Source organism: Homo sapiens, chromosome 19, assembly GCF_000001405.40.
Source record: "Homo sapiens chromosome 19, GRCh38.p14 Primary Assembly".
Taxonomy (NCBI): domain Eukaryota; kingdom Metazoa; phylum Chordata; class Mammalia; order Primates; family Hominidae; genus Homo; species Homo sapiens.
This window is the reverse complement of record NC_000019.10, coordinates 20,153,006-20,177,412: the sequence shown is the minus strand read 5'-3', so window position 1 is coordinate 20,177,412 and position 24,407 is coordinate 20,153,006. Positions and strand designations below refer to the sequence as shown.

General features: G+C 45.3%; 1 protein-coding gene, 2 long non-coding RNA genes and 1 pseudogene across 4 annotated transcripts in view, besides 2 other annotated features; 2 read left to right on the top strand and 2 right to left on the bottom strand.

The window, feature by feature from the left end:
• Positions 1-10,199, bottom strand: part of ZNF486 (zinc finger protein 486) — a 33,275-nt gene extending 23,076 nt beyond the window's left edge. The window contains exon 1 of the mRNA NM_052852.4: positions 10,053-10,199. Within this exon, the coding sequence (NP_443084.2) occupies positions 10,053-10,082 (30 nt within the window). The 5' untranslated portion in view covers positions 10,083-10,199. The remainder of the gene's footprint in view (positions 1-10,052) is intronic.
• LOC105372310 (uncharacterized) overlaps positions 1-24,407 on the top strand; it is a 148,126-nt gene that overhangs the window by 94,416 nt on the left and 29,303 nt on the right. The window contains exon 6 of one of the 2 annotated variants that reach the window (XR_001754065.2): positions 12,381-13,520. The exons of the other annotated variant lie outside the window; for it this stretch is intronic. This is a non-coding gene — a long non-coding RNA (uncharacterized LOC105372310). Of the gene's footprint in view, positions 1-12,380; positions 13,521-24,407 lie in introns of those variants that run through there. 2 annotated transcript variants of the gene reach the window in all.
• Positions 166-1,155: an enhancer, noted in NCBI's record as "H3K27ac hESC enhancer chr19:20287067-20288056 (GRCh37/hg19 assembly coordinates)". NCBI's record gives its function as "activates a minimal SCP1, AML or CMV promoter by ChIP-STARR-seq in primed H9 embryonic stem cells {active_cell/tissue: H9 hESC(primed)}" and the evidence as "EXISTENCE:reporter gene assay evidence [ECO:0000049][PMID:30033119]".
• Positions 350-2,400, top strand: BNIP3P16 (BCL2 interacting protein 3 pseudogene 16; annotated as a pseudogene).
• Positions 8,676-9,617: an enhancer, noted in NCBI's record as "H3K27ac-H3K4me1 hESC enhancer chr19:20278605-20279546 (GRCh37/hg19 assembly coordinates)". NCBI's record gives its function as "activates a minimal SCP1, AML or CMV promoter by ChIP-STARR-seq in primed H9 embryonic stem cells {active_cell/tissue: H9 hESC(primed)}" and the evidence as "EXISTENCE:reporter gene assay evidence [ECO:0000049][PMID:30033119]".
• On the bottom strand, positions 16,165-19,430 carry LOC124904667 (uncharacterized). Its single transcript, XR_007067171.1, has 2 exons — positions 19,328-19,430; positions 16,165-16,216 (listed from the first exon to the last, which is right to left on the bottom strand). It is a non-coding gene; the product is annotated as an uncharacterized LOC124904667 (long non-coding RNA).

Sequence of the window (24,407 nt, the reverse complement as noted above, 5' to 3'; positions counted from 1 at the left end):
GTGTATGCTAATTGCTTATATTCAATGACAAATAAACTTTTCACATCTTCATAACAGGAGTTATTTTAGCAGCTTGAAGTCAGGTACCTGCTGAAGCTAAGATTTCACTCTGCTACAAAAATGGTTGAATAGTGTTCTATATTTTGGCTAGTTACAGTTTAGAGGAGTGGCTCTGTACTCACTGGCAGTGGGCTACAGCACTCCTGCTTGCTTTCTCCTGGTTGCTAGTATGCTCTCTTGACCTCTACCATCTGCCACTGAGGCACAGCCCAGAGCACAGCTCACATTTTATATGAACCCCATTTGCCACAGCAGCACTCTAGTGTCACATCAGAGAGTGAGGCCTGAGCTGCAGGAGGAGAGCCTGCAGGCCTCCTGGGTAGAATTACACATTCACAATAATGAAAATGAGAGCAGTGTTTCAACCTCAGTTTCTACTTATAATGGTGACAAGGAAAAAATACTGCTGAATTTCCAGCATGAGTCCAGATAGAGATAGCTCCAAAAGTTCTCACTGTGACAGCCTAGCTTAATCAGAAATCATGGGATTAATTAATAGGGCTTCGACTCTCCCTCTCCCTGTCCCTCTCCCTCTCCCCACAGTCTCCCTCTGATGCCGAGCCGAAGCTGGACTGTACTGCTGCCATCTCGGCTCACTGCAACCTCCCTGCCTGATTCTCCTGCCTCAGCCTGCCGAGTGCCTGCGATTGCAGGTGCGCGCCGCCACGCCTGACTGGTTTTCGTACTTTTTTGGTGGAGACGGGGTTTCGCTGTGTTGGCCGGGCTGGTCTCCAGCTCCTAACCGCGAGTGATCCGCCAGCCTCGGCCTCCTGAGGTGCCGGGATTGCAGACGGAGTCTCGTTCACTCAGTGCTCAATGTTGCCCAGGCTGGAGTGCAGTGGCGTGATCTCAGCTGGCTACAACCTCCACCTCCCAGCCGCCTGCCTTGGCCTCCCAAAGTACCGAGATTGCAGCCTCTGCCCGGCCGCCACCCCGTCTGGGAAGTGAGGAGCGTCTCTGCCTGGCCGCCCATCGTCTGGGATGTGAGGGGCCCCTCTGCCTGGCTGCCCAGTCTGAAAGTGAGGAGGGTCTCTGCCCGGCCGCCATCCCATCTAGGAAGTGACGAGCACCTCTTCCCAGCCACCATCCCATCTAGGAAGCAAGGAGCGTCTCTGCCCGGCCGCCCATCGTATGAGATGTGGGGAGCGCCTCTGCCCCGCTGCCCCGTCTGGGATATGAGGAGCGCCTCTGCCCAGCCGCGACCCCGTCTGGGAGGTGAGGAGCGTCTCTGCCTGGCCGCCCCATCTGAGAGGTGAGGAGACCCTCTGCCTGGCAGCCGCCCCATCTGGGAAGTGAGTAGCATCTCCGCCCGGCAGCCACCCCGTCCGGGAGGGAGGTGGGGGTCAGCCCCCGCCAGGCCAGCCGCCCCGTCCGGGAGGGAGGTGGGGTCAGTCCCCTGCCCGGCCAGCCGCCCCATCCGGGAGGTGAGGGGCGCCTCTGCCCAGCCGCCCCTACTGGGAAGTGAGGAGCCCCTCTGCCCGGCCACCACCCCATCTGGGAGGTGTACCCAACAGCTCATTGAGAACGGGCCATGATGACAATGGCTGTTTTGTGGAATAGAAAGGGGGGAAAGGTGCGGAAAAGACTGAGAAATCGGATGGTTGCCGTGTCTGTGTAGAAAGAAGTAGACATGGGAGACTTTTCATTTTGGTCTGTACTAAGAAAAATTCTTCTGCCTTGGGATCCTGTTGATCTCTGACCTTACCCCCAACCCTGTGCTCTCTGAAACATGTGCTGTGTCCACTCAGTGTTAAATGGATTAAGGGCGGTGCAAGATGTGCTTTGTTAAACAGATGCTTGAAGGCAGCATGCTCATTAAGAGTCATCACCACTCCCTAATCTCAAGTACCCAGGGACACAAACACTGCGGAAGGCCGCAGGGTCCTCTGCCTAGGAAAACCAGAGACCTTTGTTCACTTGTTTATCTGCTGACCTTCCCTCCACTGTTGTCCTATGACCCTGCCAAATCCCCCTCTGCGAGAAACACCCAAGAATGATCAATAAAAAAAAAAAAAAAAAAATTAATAGGGCTTCTGAAACAGACACCCAAAGCACTGGAGAGAAAAAAGTTAAAATGATATTAGGAAAAAGCTCAGATTAGATATAAAATTGATCATGTCTGCCAGAAAATATTCTCCTAAAAGCAATTTCTCTCTAAACACCCAAAGCGCACAGCTACTCTCAGCAAGAGAAACATGAGCATTATGAAGAAAGGTGGCAGATTTTCAGAAGAATTTTTATAAAGTTTCTTTCCCATCTCTGCTGTTCTGTCATCTCCTAGCCATTGAATGGAGGTTCTATATTGAAATACATCTGACAACTTCCAACAACACTTTTTGATGAAGAAATAGAATCTGACTATGTTCATATAGTGGAATATATTAGAACTTGCAACATAGCAAACTGAAGAGCTATTATGGTTTTTGGGTGGCCACATCACATGTCTTTATTTGTCCTGTAATAGCAGCATACCAATTTAATGAAATAAAAGACACTAAAATTGTGTTTACTCACTAGTCATAATATATGTAGCATTTTTAATAATTAAAACTATACTTCAGCCAAAACACTATATTTCAAAAGTATAAATTACAATATTAAAATAACCATTTAAGTGATTCATTCAAAGTAAGTATTGTGGCTTTATATTCATACTATTTTAGAAAATACTGTTTATGGCTCACACCTGTAATCTTAGCACTATGGGAAGCTGAAATGGGTGGATCACCTGAGGTGAAAAGTTCAAGATCAAACTGGCGAACATGGTGACAACCATCTCTACTATAAATACAAAAACTTAGCCAGGAACAGTGATGCATGCCTGTAATCCCAGCTACTCGGAAGGCTGAGGCAGGAGAATCGCTTGAACCCGGGAGGCAGCAGTTGCAGTGAGATGAGATCATGCCACTGCACTGCAGCTTGGGCAACAGAGACTCTCTCAAAAAAAAAAAAGAAGAAAGAAAGAAAGAAAAACAAAATACTGTTAAATGTATATAAATGCAGCTTGTCTACAAACATTACACATAACTATGCTAATTATTCTGAAGTAATAAATAGAAAGCCAGGCACAACTACAGACTCCACTGTTCAGTTTACGCACTGAACTGTTCTTCTTTTTGCAGTATAAGTACTTCAGCCTGCAAATATTGGATAATTTCCTTGGATAATCTGGTTTCTGTCAAAGAAACATAGTATCTTTTAATGTTTACCATTATGTATTGCTAAATTTGATCCTATCTTTGTGCTAAGCTTCTGTGTGCCCTTAAAATTAGCTTTTATCTAAATAAATCTGTGTCTATTTAAAGGACTAAAAATTAAAAAATAAACTTTTTGGAACCAAAAACAAAGCAATAAATCTGAAGTTCTAGATAATCTGGAGTCAGAAAAAAGACAAAAGGTATTTAGCTGTTAATATAATTTACATATATTTTTAAAAATCAGAGAAAAATAACTATATATAATCTAAATCCCTTAAGAAATGAGACAATGGCAAAAATTTTTTTGGAAGTTTTTTTTTTTTTGAGACGGAGTCTCGCTCTGTCCCCCAGGCTGGAGTGCAGTGGCACTATCTCAGCTCACTGCAAGCCCCACCTCCCATGTTCACGCCATTCTCCTGCCTCAGCCTCCCAAGTAGCTGGGACTACAGGCGCCCGCCACCACGCCTGACTAATTTTTTTTTGTATTTTTAGTAGAGATGGGTATCACTATGTTAGCCAGGATGATCTCTATCTCCTGACCTCGTGATCCACCCACCTCAGCCTCCAAAAGTGCTGGGATTACAGGCATGAGCCACCACACCTGGCCTTTTTTTGGAAGTTTTTAAGGAGTTTTGAACTCTTGGACACCTGAGTTTTGCATACTGTATGCGCTTGAAAGAACGTTAGTGGGGTTAAAACCAGAAGAGAGAAAGATGTTATATAAAATCCATGAGTGCACAAGACCAATGAAATAGAATAGAGAGCCCAGAAATAATGTCACCCTCCTATAATCATCAGATTTTTGACAAAGCTGACAAGAGAAATGTGGGAAGGATTCTCTCTTTAATAAATGGTGCTAGAATAACTAGCCAGCATTTTTTAGAAGACTAAAGCTGGACCCCTTCGTTACACCATATGCAAAAATCAACTCAAGATAAATTAAAGACTTAAATGTAAAACAAAATTATGAGAAACCCTGCAAGATAACCTAGGAAATACCATTCTAGACACAGAAACTGGCAAAGACTTCATGAGGAAGCTACCCAAAGCAACTGCAACAAAAGCAAAAATTGACAAATGAGACCTATTTGAACTTCAGAGCTTCTTTACAGCAAAGGAAACTATCAACAGAGTAAACAATCTACAAAATAAACAAAAATATTTACAAACTTTGCCTCTGACAAAGGCCTAATATCCAGAATTTATTAAGAACTTGGCTGGGCGTGGTGACTCATGACTGTAATCCCAGCACTTTGGGAGGCCAAGGCGGGTGTATCACGAGGTCAGGAGTTCAAGACCAGCCTGACCAACAGGGTGAAACCTCGTCTCTACTAAAAATACAAAAATTAGCAGGGTGTGGTGGTGGCACATGTCTGTAATCCCAGCTACTCAGAAGGCTGAGGCAGGAGAATCACTCCAACCCAGGAGGCAGAGGTTGCAGTGAGCCGAGATAGTGCCACTGCACTCCAGTCTAAGCGACTCCATCTCACAAAAAAAAAAAAAGAACTTAAACAAGTTTACAAGAAAAAAACAAACAACCTCATTAAAAAGTAGGCAGGCCGGGCATGGTGGCTCATGCATGTAATCCCAGCACTTTGGAAAGCCAAGGCAGGCAGAACACTTGAGGACAGGAGTTCAAAACCAGCCTGGCCAACATGGTGAAACCCCCTTTCTACTAAAAGTACAAAAAATTAGCTGGGAGTGGTGCAGGTGCCTGTAATCCCAGCTACTCAGGAGGCTGAGGCAGGAGAATCACTCGAAGGTGAAGGTTGCAGTTGGTCAAGATTACGCTATTGCAATCCAGTCTGGGCAACAAGAGCAAAACTCTCTCTCAAAAAAAAAAAGTAGGCAAAAGCTAGGTGCAGTGGCTCACACCTGTAATCCCAACACTTTGGGAGGCTGAGGCCGGGTAATCACCTGAGGTTGGAACTTTATGATCAGCCTGACCCACGTGGAGAAATCCTGTCTCTACTAAAAGTACAAAATTAGCTAGACATGGTGGTGCATGCTTGTAATCCCAGCTACTTGGGAGGCTGAGGCAGGAGAATCACTTGAACCAGGAAGTTGAGGTTGTGGTGAGCCGAGGTTGCACCATTGCACTCCAGCCTGGACAACAAGAGCAAAAGTCCAGCTCAAAAGACAAAACAAAATGAAAGGAAAAAAAAAAAAGGAAACTAACGTAGAAACAGAAAACCAAATGCATGTTATTAAGAGCTAAATAATAAGAACACATGAACACAAAGAGGAGAACAACAGACACTGAGGCCTAGTTGAGGGTGGAGGGTGTGAGGACTAAGAGGATCAGAAAACACACCTGTTTGGTGCTATGGGTAGTACCTCAGTGACAAAATAATCTGCACAACAAATCCCCATGACATAATTTTAACTGTATAACAAACCCACATGTGTACATCGAACCAAAAATAAAAGCTAAAAGAAAAAAAATAATTCCTGGGTGGGAGAGAGTGCAATGTAGGTGAATGGAATGATTTTCACTACAGATAGTGGCCCAGGTGGGGCTGTACTCTGATTTATTTCTGTGTGCATGTAGGCAGATGAAATTATAAACATGTGGCCCAGATCCTAGGATGGTGGAGAAAACAGGTTGCTGCTGCAGATTCAGTGTCTGGGGTGGAGACATGCCAGTAGACTTGTAGAGACTTGTGGGTTCTTGACAAGAAACACAAGAAACACTAGGATCAAAAATGCCGTGGTGAAGTTTCTGAGGGTGATGCCTAGTCCTGGGAGGAGTGTGGACACGTTAATGTCTAGTGTGTGTGTTTGTGAGTGGGTGGGAACACCGTGGTGATAGCTGCAATAAAAGGGGGTCTGTAATCAGAGCTCCTTTTCTCTAAGTTTTCAGTCCTCTGTCACCCTGGGAGAAGACCTGGAATCACAGGACAATGGGCAGTGTGACAGCCTGTGTACAGGAGAGTGGAGCCTCCCAATCCCAAACACCCAGAGTTTTGTTCCAGGCCAGGCCTCTGTGATATCTTTTTACTGGCACCATATCTGTAGAGTTTGCTGAACATCAAACATTTCTCCAACACAAACTTATTGCCTAATATTTGAATTCTGACAGCACCTAAAGTCAGCATAGACCCTCGGTCCCACAACATTGTCCTCACTGCAGATGCCAGTCACAAACCCTATGGGCCCATCTATTCTTTTGAACTAATGTTTGAAAACTCGGGACTCCTGAAACCTTCCTGAAGTTCAATAATTTGGTAGAGCTATTCACAGAACTGAACAAAACACTGTAGTTATGTTTACCGGTTTAATATATAAGATGCAGCCCAGGAAAAGCCAAAAGGAAGAAATGCATACAACAAAGAAAAGACATGAGGAAAGATGAAACACATAGATAATCATGGAAAACATTTGTGATTAATAAAATTCTCCATTTGTTGTGTACTCCAGAAAAAGCTGATGGACAGAAACACCCTTCCCATTATGACTTAGATGGTGCTCTCTTTTCTTACCTGTCACACAGCCAGACATACACTGCACATTTTCTCCTTTTTCTCATTAGAAAAATCAGCTGAATATGTCTTCAGTGGTCAAATTTCTTTTTTTTTTCTTGTGATGAAGTCTCACTCTGCTGCCCAGGCTGGAGTGCAGTGGCACCATCTTGACTCACTGCTCACTGCAACCTTCACCTCCCAGGTTCAAGCAATTCTCCTGCCTCAGCCTCCCAAGTAGCTGGCATTACATGTACCTGCCAAGACGCTTGGCTAATTTTTGTATTTTTAGTAGACACCATGTTTTCACCGTGTTGGCCAGGCTGTGACCTCAGGTGTTCGGCCTGCCTCAGCCTCCCAAGGTGCTAGGATTACAAGCGTGAGCCATCGCGCCTGGCCTAAAATAAAATATTTCTTAATCAAACTTTATTTATCTCCCTCCCTCAGGCTCCTGAATTTTGAGCTACCCTCAGTCTGAGTCAACATACACCCCATTTTGGCCGGGCGCGGTGGCTCACGCCTGTAATCCCAGCACTTCGGGAGGCCGAGGCGGGCGGATCACAAGGTCAGAGGTCAGGAGATCGAGACCATCCTGGCTAACACGGTGAAACCCGTCTCTACTAAAAATACAAAAAAATTAGCCGGGCGTGGTGGCGGGCGCCTGTAGTCCCAGCTACTCGGGAGGCTGAGGCAGGAGAATGGCGTGAACCCGGGAGGCGGAGCTTGCAGTGAGCCGAGATCGCGCCACTGCACTCCAGCCTGGGCGACGGAGTGAGACTGTCTCAAAAAAAAAAAAAAAAAAAAAACATACAACCCCATCTTATGTCCCTTCTAAGAACACGGTGATTTCAGGGTAAGACATTCTCTGAGCTAAAATCTGACTTTTTCACCCTCCATTTGTCATTCCCCTCCCCGCTTTTTTCTAATCTCGTTTGCTCCTCCCTAGGAAAAAAGCCCTTTTCTGCCTACATTTTTGCAAGCCACAGAGACCTTATAATTAGTTGGTACTTTCTCCTGTTCCAATACTAATTCATTTTTTTACATAAATCTGACGTTTTTATCTTAAAAAGTCTAAAAAGTGCCTCAAAACAATAGCTTTATTATCAGTAAGACCCTCCCAGTTTCCTTTCACCTTAATCTTAACTACCTGTGGGGCTCCAGCTTTCCAGGGCTCCGTAGCTTCTCTCAGGATAAAGGCTCCTTCCATGGGTGGGGTGAGCAGGCTGGGACATCTGCAGGCGAGGCTCCCCAGAAAAAACTAACTAGGCCTTTAATAACCTCCTGTTGGCCGGGCGCGGTGGCGCAAGCATGTAATCCCAGCACTTTGGGAGGCCAAGGCGGATGGATCACCTGAGGTTGGGAGTTAGAGACCAGCCTGACCAACATGGAGAAACCCCTAGTAAACACACATAATTAGCCGGGCGTGACGGCGCGTGCCTGCAATCCCAGTAACTCCAGAGGCTGAGGTAGGAAAATCCCTTGAACCCAGGAGGTAGAGGATGCGGTGAGCCGAGATCATACCATTGCACTCCAGACTGGGTAATAAGAGCTAAACTCCATGTCAAAATAAAAAAAATGTAGTAACCCCACCACTTCGGGAGGCTGAGGTAGGCGGATCACAAGGTCAGGAGTTCGACACCAGCCTGGCCAATATGGTGAAACCCCGTCTCTGCTAAAAATACAAAAATTAGCCGGGCGTGGTGGCGAGTGCCTGTAGTCCCAGCTACTTGGGAGGCTGAGGCAGGAGAACTGCTTGAACCCCGGAGGCGGAGGTTGCAGTGAGCCGAGATCGCGCCACTGCACTCCAGCCTGGGCCACAAAGCAAGACTGTCTCAAAAAAAAAAAATTTTTTTTAACCCCCTCCTTTTGCAGACTTCATATTAGCCTTAGCTTGGAATTACTAGGTTCAAGCTTTAATTTCCATGTCAGTGTTATTCACTTGGTTTTTGAAACTAAGTGTTTGAAAAATCCAGTGAAATTACTCAAACAGTGTTTACATAAAGGAAGAAAATTTTAAGATTCTTACTTTTTTTTTTTTTTGAGACGGAGTTTCGCTGTTGTTGCCCAGGCTGGAGTGCAATGGCACGATCTCGGCTCACCGCAACCTCCTCCTCCCGGGTTCAAGCAACTCTCCTGCCTCAGCCTCCCGAGTAGCTGGGATTACAGGCATGCGCCACCAAGCCCAGCTAATTTTGTATTTTTAATAGAGACAGGGTTTCTCCATGTTAGTCAGGCCGGTCTCGAACTCCCGAACTCAGGTGATCCGCCTGCCTTGGCCTCCCAAAGTGCTGGGATTACAGGCGTGAGCCACTGCGCCTGGCCCTTCTTTTGTGTGTGTGAAGGAGTCTTGCTCTGTCACGCACACTTAAGTACGATGGCGCGGTCTCAGCTCACTGCAACCTCCGCCTCCTGGGTTCAACCAATTCTCGTGCCTCAGCCTCCCAAGTAGCTGGGATTACAGGTGCCTGCCACCACACCTGGCTAATTTTTGTATTTTTAGTAGAGACGGGGTTCACGGTGTTGGCCAGGATGGTCTAGAACTCCTGACCACAAGATCCTCCCGCCTAGGTCTCTCAAAATGCTGGGATTACAGGCGTGAGCCACCGCGCCCGACCAGGAATGGGTTTTTAACCCCAACGTAGTTTTTGTTTTTGTGTCCTTCCCCTATTGGCTGGGGTCAGACCGCACAATCTAAGCTGATCCCGGTTGGCTTAGACCCAAACTTTTTCCAAATAGGATAAACGAGCGATTTGCGAGAAAAGGAAAAGGGAGAAAAAGGGGTAGGGTTGTTTTACAACTTTTACAACTTCTGATCAGGAAGTTGAGTCTTTGAAGAGGAATTTAGTTGTCCTAGCAACCCTTTACCTCAAGTGATCCGCCAGCCTTCGCCTCCCAAAATGCTGGGATTACAGACGTCAACCACCGCGCCCGGCCCCATAAATTTTTAACAAAAGAAAAGAGAAACTGTGAACCCCACGGACCAAAGCTCTTCCGAATCGTGAACCCGCACCCCGAGTCAAGATTCTCCCCTGATGACCTTCTCGTGGTTCCCGCACCATCTGGGAGAGACCCGAAGCTGCGGGTGGAGAGCTGCTGCACAGAGAGGGCGCCAGGCCAGGGCACGGTCACTGCGCAGGGAAGAGACAGGACGCCCCGGGACCGGCTGTCAGCGCAGCCACCATCTTATGGCTGAAGGGGACTGAGGCCGAGCTGGGTAAGGAGAAGTCCGGACGCAGATTGTGGAGCTGACTACGGGGAGGCCTGAGTCCCTCCACAGCCACTTCCCATCAACCAGTCCCTCCCCTCTCTCAGGATGTCCAATGGGCACTCTCACCATTTCTAGGCTTCTAAGGGGTCCCGGCATCTTGGCTGTGGATCTCCCAATACCTACAGGACACAGGGCCACAGAGGGTGGGCCTCTAGGAGCAGAGGACACAGAGTAGCGAAGAGGCGACCTAGAGCTCCAGATGCAGCGAGAGACAAAGGCCGCGCCAAACCCGGAAGCCGTCCTCTTTGCTCCAGCTGCCTGCCTGATTGGACGGTTTCCAGCCCAGCGTCTCTGATTGGATAATGCTTAAGGCCCCGCCCACTCAGTCCCTGAGTGACAGAGGATGTGATCAGATGCTGGGCTGAGTGATGAAAGAGTAACAGCCTAAGCTGCAGCCTTTTCAGGCAGGGCTTCCTCCCTGAGCTGAGCCAGGCCCACCCTAGAGCAAGGGAAAATTCTATCTCTTTTTTACTCTCTCTCTTTTTGCATGTATTCAAAAGGTGAACAGAAGTATTTTGCTGTCATATTAATAATACATAAAATTTTTGTTAGAAAATCAACTTTTACTTTGGTAATAGTGTATTATCAATACTAAAGCTAATTTTAATAAAACCTTATATATAAATCAGATTTGTCACTTTTGACCTCTCGAGATTTACACATATATTTCATAATCACTTGTAATTTTTTTAACTTTTTATATTTTATCTACATTCTTTTTTTCAATTTGAAACAACCTTTAAGTAATTTCAAATTGTTACAGGAAATAGAAATCATTTAGAACCAGGCGCAGTGGCTCACGCCTCTAATTCCAGCACTTTGGGAGGCCAAGGTGGGCGGATAACTTGAGTCAGGAGTTCAAGACCAGCCTGGCCAACATGGTGAAACCCCATTTCTACTAAAAATACAAAAAATTATCTGGGTGTGCTGGTGTGCACTTGTAGTCCCAGCTACTCCGGAGGCTGAGGCAAGAGAATCGCTTGAACCCAGGAGGCGGAGGTTGTGTAACAGCCCAAGGGTTTTACCTTGCCTTTTGTCTAGACAGAGCTGATTCATAAAGACAGGCCTTTTGCCTAGACAGAGCCCATTCATCAAGACAGGGGAATTTGTGGAGGAAAAGTTAAATATTAATTTTGAAATAAATTGAACACAGACACAAACAATGGTCACCAAGTCTCAGAACCGGTTGTGTGACCCCCTTGAGGCATTCATTGAGGCATTCATGTAGTGTCATTTCAGAGAAATCTCTGTTTCAATCTATTCCTATATGTTAGTTATTGAAAAACAAGATAACGTTTTTGTGTTCCTTGAGCCCAGTCGCAAAGGGCCCTAGTGACTGGGCCTCATGCCAAACATTTCAGCTCCATCAGGTCATTTATGTTCCTCTCCAAACTGTTTATTCTAGTTAGCAGTTCCTCTAACCTTTTATCAAGGTTCTTAGCTTCTTCAAATTGGGTTCGAACATGTTTCTTTAGCTCAGCAGAGTTTGTTATTAACCATCTTCTGAGGCCTACTTCTGTGAATTCATGCATCTCATCCTCTTATGTTCCTCTCCAAACTGGTTATTCTAGTTAGCAGTTCCTCTAACCTTTTATCAAGGTTCTTAGCTTCTTCAAATTGGGTTCAAACATGTTTCTTTAGCTCAGCAGAGTTTGTTATTAACCGTCTTCTGAAGCCTACTTCTGTGAATTCATGCATCTCATCCTCTTATGTTCCTCTCCAAACTGGTTATTCTAGTTAACAGTTCCTCTAACCTTTTATCGAGGTTCTTAGCTTCTTCAAATTGGGTTTGAACATGTTTCTTTAGCTCAGCAGAGTTTGTTATTAACCATCTTCTGAAGCCTACTTCTATCAATTCATGCATCTCATCTTCTGTCCAGTTCTGCACCTTGCTGAAGAGACATTTTGATCATTTGGAAGAGAAGAGGCACTCTGGCCTTTCAGCTGTTTTTTGTTGATTCTTTCTCATCTTCATGAGTTTGTCTAGTTTCGATCTTTGAGGCTTCTGACACTTGGATTTTTTTTTTTTAACAGTCTCTCTCTCTGTCACTCAGGCTGGAGTGCAGTGGCACAATCGCAGCTCACTGCAAATTCTGCCTCCCAGGTTCAAGTGATTCTCATGTCTCAGACTACCTAGTAGCTGGGACTACAGGCATGCACCACCACGCCTGGCTATTTTTTTTTGTATTTTTTAGTAGAGACAAGGTTTCACCATGTTGGCCAGGCTAGTCTCGAACTCGTGACCTCAAGTGCTCTGCCCACTGCCTCGGCCTCCCAAAGTATTGGGTTACAGGTGTGAGCCACCATGTGTGGCTTTGGATGAGGTTTTTGTGGGTACATTTTTTTCTTGTTGATGCATTGTTGCTTTCTGTTTGTTTTTCTTTCAATGGTCAGGTCCATCTTCTGTAGCGCTGCTGCAGTTTGCTAGGGGCTAACTTCAGGACCTATTCATCTGGTTCACCGCCGTGCCTGGAGATGTCACTCAAGGAAGTTGGAGAACAGCAAAGAAGAGTGCCCGCTCCTTCCTCTGGGATCTCTGACCTCAAGAGGCACAAACCTGATGCCAGTAGAATTGCTCCTCTATAGGGTGTCTGACAATCCCTGTTGAAGGGTCTCATCCAGTTGGGTGGCACAGGAAGCAGAACTCATTTAATGAAGCACTTTGACTGTCCTTTGGTGGAGGGGGGTGTTTCACTGGGGGAAAATCCACTCATCTGGGCTGCTCAAATTCTTCAAAACTAGCAGGAGGAAAGGCTAAGTCTGCTGGTCCACAGAGACTGCAGCCACCCCTCCCCCTAGGGTTCTGCTCTGATCTTTGTTATTTCTTTTTTTCTACTGGGTTTGGGTTTGGCTTGTTCTTGTTTCTCTAGTTCCTTGAGGTGTTATCTTAGATTGTCTACTTATGAGCTTTCAGACTTTTTAGTAGGCACTTGATGCTATGAACTTTCCTTTTAGCACGACTTTTGCTGTATCCCAGACATTTTAATAGATTGTCATTATTATCGTTCAGCTCAAAGAATTTTTAAATTTCCATCTTGATTTCATACAACAATCATTCAGAAACAAGTTGATCCTAAATTTTATTTTTATTTAATTTCCATGTATTTATTTAATTTCCATGGATTTGCATGGTTTTGAGGGTTCACTTGGAGTTTTCACTTTTATTCCACTGTAGTCTGACAGAGTAGTTGATATAATTTTGATTGTCTTAAATTTATCGAGACTTGTTTTGTGGCCCATCATATGTCTGTCTTAGGGAATGATTCATATGCTGATGAATGAAATGTATATTCTGCAGTTGTTGTGTGGAATGTTCTGTAAATATTTGTCAAGTCCATTTGTTCTACGGTATAGTTTAAGTCCATTGTTTTTGTTGTTGTTGTTGTTGTTGACTTTCTGTCATGATGACTTGTCTAGTGCTGTCAGTAGAGTATTGAAGTTCCCCATTATTATTGTGTTGCCATTTATCTCATTTCTTAGGTCTAGTAGTAATTGTTTAATAAACTGGGAGCTCCAGTGTTAGGTGCATATATATTTAGAATTGTGATATTTTCCTGTTGGACTAGTCCTTTTATCATTATATAATGTCCCTCTTTGTCTTTTTTTATTTTTAACTGTTTTTGCTTTAATGTCTGTTTTGTCTGATGTAAGAATGGCTACTACTGCTTGCTTTTGGGGTACATTTGCATGACTATCTTTTCCCAACCCTTTACCTTAACTTTATGTGAGTTTTTATGTGTTGGGTGAGTCTCTTAAAGACCGCAGATATTTGGTTGGTAAACTCTTCTCCATTCTACCATTCTGTATCTTTTAAGTGGAATATTTAGGCCACTAATCACTATCAATTATACCACCACACATTATAATGCCAGTCATTGCAAGGCTTGAACAGGAAATCAATTCATCCGCATTCAAGTTTGCAGTTATAATAAAAATTTTGGCCTGTTGATCTTCCTGGTGATTAAATAGTCTGTCAAGAGAAAGCAGAGATGGATGAGCATCAACATGGAAAACAGCAACAATGGTAGTGTGCACCAGGATTCAGATATCTTCTCAGTATTTTTTTCCCCAAACCTCTTTATTCCCAATTAACCATTTGTTTTGTCACTATTGGAGCATCCAGGTAGTAAGACCATTTGCTACTGACCAAGAGTTGGTATACAAGTGACAAATCCCTCTGGCTTCCTCCTGAATATCTTGGAGGTTGGCTACTAGTTCAGCTAACTGGCTGCTCCCACCCCTTCCTTCATCAGAAATGCTTACGTTTTTAACAGGATTATAAGCCATGCCCTTCCAGCATTGGGTCCCACCAATATGTTTGCTGGATCGATCAGTAAACCAAGCATGTTTCTGATCCTCTGGGCTTAGTTCTTTAAAGGAACTGCACCATTGAGTGGGGGGAGGGGCGGTTTCCTTCCCTATGTGCAGCACTTCCTCAGTGGTTTCCTGAGCTGGCAAGTTTTGTACATCCTCATGTAAAAATGATACCCCCTTTGGTTTTGGCTTAGCCTGGTCTTCTATGTTGTATTTCCATTTTATGATGTTACTTTCTTGGGCATGCCCTATTTGGTGAGTTTTGGGGGAACTCATGACTCAAGTCATAATAGGAATTTCAGACCTTATAAAGACATCACGGTTGAAGCAGAGGTGTTCCATTTCCAGCAAAGCCCAATAGCAAGGTAACAATTGCTTCTTGAAAGGGGTATAAGCTTTGCTGGCCTCTGGCAATTTCTGGGTTCAAAACCCAAAGTGTACCCTCTTCCCATCTTGTTTCTGCCTAAGGCTCCAATTAGCATGTTGATTTAGGACAGTTATTTGCAGTTCTACTGGCCCATCTCATATGGGCCATAGGTCCAGGGCCAGTTGCACTGCTTGTTTAGCTTGTTCAAAAGCCATGCTCTCTTTCTCTCCCCAGTGAAAGTCACAGCATTTTCTAGTGACTGCATGCAGAGGTTGTAAAATGTTACCCAAGTGGTGAATATAATGTCTCCCGAATCCAAACAAGCCAATAAATTTCTAGTCCTCCTTTTTAGTGGTAAGGGTTGCAATTTTTAGTATTTTAGCCTTAGTCTTTGGTAAAATGGACTATTTCCCTGCATTTCATAGGATGCCAAGGAATTTTATAGTTTGTGCAGGATGCCAAGGAATTTTACAATTTGTCCTTGAATTTTACTAAGGTTAATTTCCCATCCTTGAGATAGGAGCTGTGTTTTTACCTGCTCCAAGACCTGACTGACTAGTTCTTCAATTTTACCCTGATGGGGCCATTGGGACAGCCACTTTTTTCATCAATAGGCTGATATCTTTGAGTCTGAACAGTTAAGACATAGGCCTGGCATTGGGCCAGGGTCAGTCTGGCAGTTGGATTGGCATTTTTCTTTTCCAGCTCTTATTTCTCTTGTAGCAACTATCCCCTATCCTGATACATTAACTTATAAAGAGTAAGCAAACACCATTCACTCGGGGAGATCCTTCAGCATCTCCTTTGCTGACTGGAATCCCCTGCTGCACTTCACATGTAGCAGGATGAGCCGCAGACAAAATCTCTCAGACACCGAGTTGTAGAAGGAAGGGCTTTATTCAGCTGGGAGCATCGGCCAGCTACTGTCTCAAAATCTGAGCTCCCTGAGTGCACAATTTCTGCCCTTTTAAGGGCTCACAACACTAAAGATTTCACATGAAAGGGTCGTGATTGATGTGAGCAAGCAAGGGGTACATGACAGGGGCTGCATGCACCGGTGGTCAGGGAGGAACAGAACAGGGCAGGGAGTTTCACCGTGTTCTTCTATACAATGTAAGGAATCTATGAATAACATCAGCTTCTAAATCATAAGTTGATTTTTAACTACTGGGTTTAGGCCAGGTGGGCCCAGGCCTGGTTTCAGGCCTGGCGCCAGGCTGCCTGTCTTTGGTTTTACTTCCTTGTTGTTTTTACTGAATATAAAACAATATAAAACAATGTGAGAGGGTCTTTCTCTCCTCTCACATACACAGTCAAAGGTTTAAATTGCATTAATTTAGATTCTCAGTTCTTACAAAGGCCAGTTTCCCTGAACCACTCAATCACCAAAGAGGAGAACTGGGGATGTTGGACGCAGAGAAAATGGGGGTCCTGACCAACTCAGTATACCACTGGAGGCTTTCATGCACATCCGTGTGAAGAGACCACCAAACAGGCTTTGTGTGAGCAACATGGCTGTTTATTTCACCTGGGTGCAGGTGGGCTGAGTCTGAAAAGAGAGTCAGTGAAGGGAGATAAGGGTGGGGCCGTTTTATAGGATTTGGGTAGATAAAGGAAAATTCCAGTCAAAGGGGGTTTGTTCTCTGGCGGGCAAGAGTGGGGGTCGCAAGGTGCTCAGTGGGGGTGCTTTTTGAGCCAGGATGAGCCAGGAAAATGACTTTCACAAGGTAATGTCATCACTTAAAGCAAGGACAGGCCATTTACACTTCTTTTGTGGTGGAATGTCATCAGTTAAGGTGGGGCAGGGCATATTCACTTCTTTTGTGATTTTTCAGTTACTTCAGGCCATCTGGGCATATACATGCAAGTCACAGGGGATGCGATGGCTTGGCTTGGGCTCAGAGGCCTGACATTCCTGCCTTCTTATATTAATAAGAAAAATAAAACAAAATGGTGTTGAAGTGTTGGGGCGGTGAAAATTTTTGGGGGGTGATATGGAGAGAGAATGGGCGATGTTTCTCAGGGCTGCTTCAAGCGGGATTGGGGCGGCGTGGGAACCTAGAGTGGGAGAGATTAAGCTGAAGGGAGGTCTTGTGGTAAGGGGTGATATTGTGGGGTTGTTAGAAGAAACATTTGTCGTATAGAATGATTGGTGATGGCCTGGATATGGTTTTGGATGAATTGAGAAACTAAATGGAATAACAGAAGGAGAAAAACAGGTATAAAAGGTCTAAGAATTGGGATGACTCAGGATATCTGATTAGAGAATGCCTAAGGAGATTCAGCATAGTCCTGCCAGCAAAGATTATTTATTTACTTCAAGAGTTAAGAGTGGCAGTTTGGGGATAGCACCAGGAGATATCAGCTGTGATGGCTTGGAAAAACAGTGTAAACTGGCAGTGTAAACAAGAGCAGGGCATGTATGAGTAGTTGAGAAAGGTGAATAGGAGTATGACTAGACAGAAGATAGTAGGGATGACAAGTTTTTCGGGGGCACAGTCTAAGTTGGTCTGGTGTCTGGAATGAGACTGGGGCCTAATAAAAAGGAGCGTCTATACAGGAGCTTAAATGGGCTGTACCCTGTAGCATTCTGAGGACAGGCCTGAATTCTGAGAAGGGAAAGTGGTAAAAGTATTGTCCAGTCCTTTTTAAGTTGGTGGCTGAGCTTGGTGAGGTGTGTTTTTAAAAGACCTTTAGTCCATTCTACTTTTCTTGAAGATGGAGGACCATAAGGGATATAAAGGTTTCACTGAATACTAAGAGCCTGAAAAACTGCTTGGCTGATTTGACTAATAAAGGCTCATCTGTTATCAGACTGTATAGAGGCGGGAAGGCTAAACTGAGGAATTATATCTAACAGAATGGAAGAAATGACTGTGGTGGCCTTCTCAGACCCTGTAGGAAAGGCCTGTACCTATCCAGTGAAAGTGTCTACCTAGACTAAGAGGTGTTTTAGTTACCTGACTCAGGTCATGTTGAGTAAAGCTAATTTGCCAGTCCTGGGTGGGGCAAATCCTCGAGCTTGATGTGTAGGGAAGGGAGGGGGCCTGAATAATCCCTGAGGAGTAGTAGAATAGCAGATGGAACACTGAGAAGTTATTTCCTTGAGGATAGATTTCCACAATGGGAAGGAAATGAGAGGTTCTAAGAGGCAAGCTAGTGGCTTGTACTATAGCATCACCTGCCTTTGCTGGTGTGTGGCGATTAGGCCTGGTGTAACCGCCATCAATAAATCAAGTGTGATCAGGGTGAGGAACAGGAAAGAAGGAAGTTTGGGGAAATGTGAATGTCAGGTGGATCAGAGAGATACAGTCATGGGGGTCAGGTGTGGTACCAGGAATAATGTGGGAGGCTGGATTGAAGTCTGGGCCAGGAACAATGGTAATTGTGGGAGATGCAACAAAGAGTGAGTAAAGCTGAAGGAGCCGGGAAGCAGAAAGTATATACATCAGGTATGAGGAAGAAAATAGATTTTGGAAGTTATGAGAACTGTAGAGAGAGAGTTGAGCACAGTTTGTGATTTTGAGGGCCTCTAAAAGTATTAAAGCAGCAGCAGCTGCTGCACGCAGACATGAGGGCTAGGCTAAAACAGTAAGGTCAAGTTGTTTGGACAGAAAGGCTACAAGTTGTGGTCCTGGCTCTTGTGTAAGAATTCTGACCATGCTAACCATACCTAGGAAGGAAAGTAGTTGTTGTTTTGTAGAAGGTGCTTGGGTTTGAGAGATCAGTTGGACACGATTGGCAGGGAGAGCATGTGGGTTTTTATGAGAAATGCCGAGATAGGTAACAGATGAGGAAGAAATTTGGGCTTGATTGAAGTAATGGGGGCTGTCTGTGAAGCTTTGCGGCAGTACAGCCTAGGTAATTTGCTGAGCTTGATGGGTGTCAGGGTCAGTCCAAGTGAAAGCGAAGAGAGGCTGGGATTAAGGGTGCAAAGGAATAGTAAAGAAAGCATGTTTGAGATCTAGAACAGAATAATGGGTTGTAGAGGCAGGTATTGAGGATAGGAGAGTATATGGGTTTGGCACCACGGGGTGGATAGGCAAAACAATTTGGTTGATAAGGCGCAGATCCTGAACTAAATTGTAAGTCTTATCTGGTTTTAGGACAGGTAAAATGGGGGAATTGTAAGAAGAGTTTATAGGCTTTAAAAGGCCATGCTGTAGCAGGCGAGTGATAACAGGCTTTAATCTTTTTAAAGCCTGCTGCGGGATGGGATATTGTCATTGAGTGGGGTAAGGGTGATTAGGTTTTAATGAGATGGTAAGGGGTACATGATCGGTCACCAAGGAGGGAGTAGAGGTATCTTATATTTGTGAGTTAAGGTGGGGGGATACAAGAGGAGGATGCAAAGGAGGCTTTGGATTGGGAAGAAGGGCAGCAATGAGATATAGTTGTAGTCCAGGAATAGGCAGGGAAGCAGATAATTTAGTTAAAGTGTCTCAGCCTAATAAGGGAACTGGGCAGGTGGGGATAACTAAAAAGGAGTACTTAAAAGAGTATTGTCTAAGTTGGCACCAGAGTTGGGGAGTTTTAAGAGGTTTAGAAGCCTGGCCATCAATACCCGCAACAGTTATGGAGGCAAGGGAAACAGGCCCTTGAAAAGAAGGTAATGTGGAGTGGGTAGCCTCTGTATTGATTAAGAAGGGGATGGGTTTACCTTCCACTGTGAAAGTTACCGGAAGCTCAGCATCCGTGATGGTCTAGGGGGCTTCCGAGGCGTTCGGGCAGTGTCAGTCTTCAGCCGCTAAGCTGAGAAGATCTGGGAAGGAGTCAGTCAGAGAGCCTTGGGCCAGAGTTCCAGGGGCTCTGGGAGTGGCTGCCAGGTGAGTCGAACAGTCCGATTTTCAGTGGGGTCCCACACAGATGGGACGCAGCTTAGGAGGAATCCTGGGCAGCGGGCATTCCTTGGCCCAGTGGCCAGATTTCCGGCACGTGTAGCAAGCTCCTGTGGGAGGAGGTTCTGGAGGAACGCCTGGCCACTGTGGTTCAGGTGTTTGGAAGTTCTTGTGTGCTGGAGATGTGGCTGGGGTTTGTCTCACAGTGGAGGCAAGGAATTGCAATTTTTTTCTATTATTGTACACCTTCAAGGCGAGGTTAATTAAATCCTGTTGTGGGGTTTGAGGGCCGGAATTTAATTTTTGGAGTTTTATTTAATGTCGGGAGCAGATTGGGTAATAAAATATTTTGAGAATAAGACGGCCTTTTGACTTTTTAGGGTCTAGGGCTGTAAAGTGTCTCAGGGTTGCTGCCAAACAAGTCATGAACTGGGCTGGGTTTTTATATTTGATGAAAAAGAGCCTAAACGCTATCCGATTTGGGATAAAGAAAAAGGAGCATTAACCTTGACTATGCCTTTGGCTCCAGCCACCTTTTTAAGAGTAAATTGCTGGGCAGGTGGGGGACAGAACGAAACTGTAAGCCGGACCAGGTGTGAGGAGGGGATGTGGGGAAAAGCAAGAGAGATCAGATTGTCACTGTGTCTGTGTAGAAAGAAATAGACATGGGAGACTCCATTTTGTTATGTACTAAGAAAAATTCTTCTGCCTTGAGATTCTGTGACCTTACCCCCAACCCCGTGCTCTCTGAAACATGTGCTGTGTCAAACTCAGGGTTAAATGGATTAAGGGCAGTGCAAGATGTGCTTTGTTAAACAGATGCTTGAAGGCAGCATGCTCGTTAAGAGTCATCACCACTCCCTAATCTCAAGTACCCAGGGACACAAACACTGCGGAAGGCCGCAGGGACCTCTGCCTAGGAAAGCCAGGTATTGTCCAAGGTTTCTCCCCATGTGATAGTCTGAAATATGGCCTCATGGGAAGGGAAAGACCTGACTGTCCCCCCGCCCGACACCCCGACACCCGTAAAGGGTCTGTGCTGAGGAGGATTAGTATAAGAGGAAGGCATGCCTCTTGCAGTTGAGACAAGAGGAAGGCATCTGTCTCCTGCCCGTCCCTGGGCAATGGAATGTCTCGGTATAAAACCCGATTGTATGTTCCATCTACTGAGATAGGGAAAAACCACCTTAGGGCTGGAGGTGGGACATGCGGGCAGCAATACTGCTTTGTAAAGCATTGAGATGTTTATGTGTATGCATATCTAAAAGCACAGCACTTAATCCTTTACCTTGTCTATGATGCAAAGACCTTTGTTCACGTGTTTGTCGGCTGACCCTCTCCCCACAATTGTCTTGTGACCCTGACACATCCCCCTCTTGGAGAAACACCCACGAATGATGAATAAATACTAAGGGAACTCAGAGGCTGGGGGGATCCTCCATATGCTGAACGCTGGTTCCCCGGGTCCCCTTATTTCTTTCTCTATACTTTGTGTCTTTTTCTTTCCTAAGTCTCTTGTTCCACCTTATGAGAAACACCCACAGGTGTGGAGGGGCAACCCACCCCTACAGGGGAGGTGATAAAAAGATTATAGGGTGGAGGAGCGGAGGCTGAGGAAGAATTGGGACCTAGCTCGGCCTGGTGAGGAGCAGCCTGGGGAGGAAGAGAGAGGTCAGATGGGTCTGTAGAAAAGGAAGATTAGAAAGAATCAGTGATGCTTGGGGTTGGTACTGAGGGGATAGGTGGGAGAGAAAGAAGGAAGATTTGGGACGAGTTGCACTGGGCACAGAGACTAGGAAGGGATTGATGTGTAAAAGAATGCCTGGACATCAGGCACCTCAGACCATTTGCCTATTTTACGACAAGAATTATTTAGATTTTGCAGGATGAAAAAATTCAAAGTGCCATTTTCTGGCTATTTGGAACTACTGTCGAGTTTGTATTGGGGTCAAGTGGCATTGCAGAAGAAAAGGCATTTAGGTTTTAGGTCAGGTGTGAGTTGAAGAGATTTTAAGTTTTTGAGAACACAGGCTAAGGGAGAAGAAGGAGGAATGGAAGGTGGAAGCTTACCCATAGTGAAGGAGGCAAGCCCAGAGAAAAGAGTAGAGACACGGAGAAGGGGTGGAGGGTTCTTGCCCTCCAGAAAAGCAGAGAAGGTGTTGGGGCACAGAAATAAGGGATTGGGGCACAGAGATAAGAGGTCAGGGTGCAGAAATAAGGGATTGGGGCACAGAGATAAGAGGTTAGGGTATGGAAATAAGCGATTGGGGGGTTCTTGCCCCCTAGGAAAGCAGGACTTGCCACTAAGGGTGAAGGAGAAGGGGTTGAGGGGTACTTGCCCCTGCCCCAGGAAAGCGGGACTTGCCGCTAAGGGTGAAGGAGAAAGGGTTGAGGGGTTCTTGCCCCTGCCCCAGAAAAGCAGAGAAGGGGTAGAGACAAGGAGAGAAGGGGTTGAGGGGTACTTGTCCCTTCCTCAGAAAATCGGGACTTGCCGCTAAGGGTGAAGGACCAAGGCAGGTGTCCCTGTGTGGTCTGACACCCTTGAAACGTGAGTGTATAATCAGAGAGGTGTCCCTGCAATGATTAAACACCAAGGGAAGGCTGCCTTCCCAGTCCATGACCGGTGCCGGAGTTGGGTCCATGGATAAAACGTGTCTCCTTTGTCTCTACCAGAAAATGAAAGGAATTGAAATTAAGAGAAGGGAGAGATTGAAGTGTGGCGCCAAGATTGAAAGGAGAAAGAGGTTGAGGGATAGTGAGGGAGGTTGGAGAAGAGAGTAAAAAGAGGCCGCTTACCGGATTTGAAATTGGTGAGATGTTTCTTGGGCTGGTCGGTCTGAGGACCTGAGGTCACAGGTGGGTCATTCTCACGGAGCAAAGAACAGGAGGACAGGGGATTGATCTCCCAAGGGAGGTCCCCCGAGCCGAGTCATGGCACCAAATTTCATTTGGCTTGGGCTCAGAGGCCTGACAGAGGCTATATGGGAAAACTCTTCTCATGAAAGCAGGATGTTGGAAAACTGACAAACTGCATCTGCTGCCAGAACGGGTGCTGAGGGCAGTTATGCCCCAGGCGCAGTGTTCCTTGTGGTTATCTATAGGAATATCTGAAGCCTGTTGTACAAAGAAAGCAATTATATGTACCTGTGATAAATCAAGCAGCTGACCAACCATTACCTCTCCCTCCCTATTGATTCTACCTAATAAATACTAAGGCCTGTAGAAACAGGGCTGCCTTCTGCTCACTAGAAGCAAGGAGCCCCTGATACCTTCTTTTTTTTTTTTTTTCTGAGACCGAATCTCGCTCTGTCACCCAGGCTGGAGTGCAGTGGCACGATCTTGGCTTACTGCAAGCTCTGCCTCCTGGGTTCATGCCATTCTCCTGCCTCAGCCCCACCCCCCCACCCCCCCAGGTAGCTGGGACTACAGGTGTCTGCCACCACACCTGGCTAAATTTTTTTGTATTTTTAGTAGAGACGGGGTTTCACCGTGTTAGCCAAGATGGTTTCGCTCTCCTGACCTCGCGATCCACCCACCTCGGCCTCTCAAAGTGCTGGGATTACAGGCCTGAGCCACTGCGCCCTGCCTGACCCCTTCTTTTAAAACAAATCTTTTGTCTTTGTCTTCATTTCTGCATTCGTCCCCTTCGTTCAATCCTGTAGGAATTGACAGTGATATTGGGGAGTTCCCATCCCTGGATTTGGGATTTCCTCGAGTTTCCAGCCCTGTCCTTGTGGCCAAAAAGTGGCACAGTTTGGTTTTTGAATCCTGTTCGTGACGCCAAAAATATTCTGTGTGGGAAACATTCAAGGGGAGAAGAAAAGACACACACACAATACCTTTAAGGGTAAATAAGCTTTGTGCCACGTAAATGGAAATGCAGATATAATTAGCAAATTATATAATAAGCAAATCAATGTAATAACCAGATTGATATAATAAGCATGTTGATATAATAAGCAAATTGCAATGGGAAGAGGAGAAAGGAAAAGAGATATATATATTTACACTCACCAGACTATGGAGGATTCACCACCAGACTGGGAAGCAACAGCTTGGGCTCCAGAGTCAGCTACTCATTCCTGCACAGATGAGGAGGGTCTAATGAAGCTTCAGCACAATCTGATACCCTAGCTCTTTTGTAACGAGTTGTTTGGCATAAGGCCCAGTCATGAGGGCCATTTGCAACTGGGGTCAAGGAACACAAAACTGTCAACTTGTTTTTGCGATTGTCTATTGTTTTTCAACAACTAATATATAGAAATAGATTGAAATAGAGATTTCTCTGAAACAGCGCTGAATGAATGCCTCAAGGGCCTCACACAACCTGTTTGAGAACTTGGTGACTACTGAGTTTGTCCACGTTCAATTAAGTTCAAATTTAGTATTTAACTTTTCCTCCACAAATTACCCAGTCTTGATGAATCAGCTCTGTCTAGACATAGGGCAAGGTGAACCCCTTGGGCAGTTACACAACCTCCGCCTTCTGGGTTTAAGCAATTCTCCTGCCTCAGCCTCCGGACTAGCTGGGTCTACAGGTGTGCAGCACCACACCCAGCTAGTTATTTGTACTTTTAGTAGAAATGGGGTTTCACCATGTTGGCCAGGCTGGTCTTGAACTCCTGACCTCAAGTGATCCACCCACCTTGGCCTCCCAAAGTGTTGCGATTACAGGCACTTGCCAGTGAACCTGGCCCTAAATGACTTCTTTCTATCTCCTATAACAATTTGAAATTACTTAAAGGTGGTTTCAAATTGAAAAAATAAAAAGAATTTGGATAAAAATAAAATGTAAACAGTTTTTAAAAATTACAAGAGATTACAAAATATACATGTAAAACCGGAGTGGTCAAAAATGACAAATTTGATTTATTTATAAGGTTTATTAAAATTAGCTTTAGT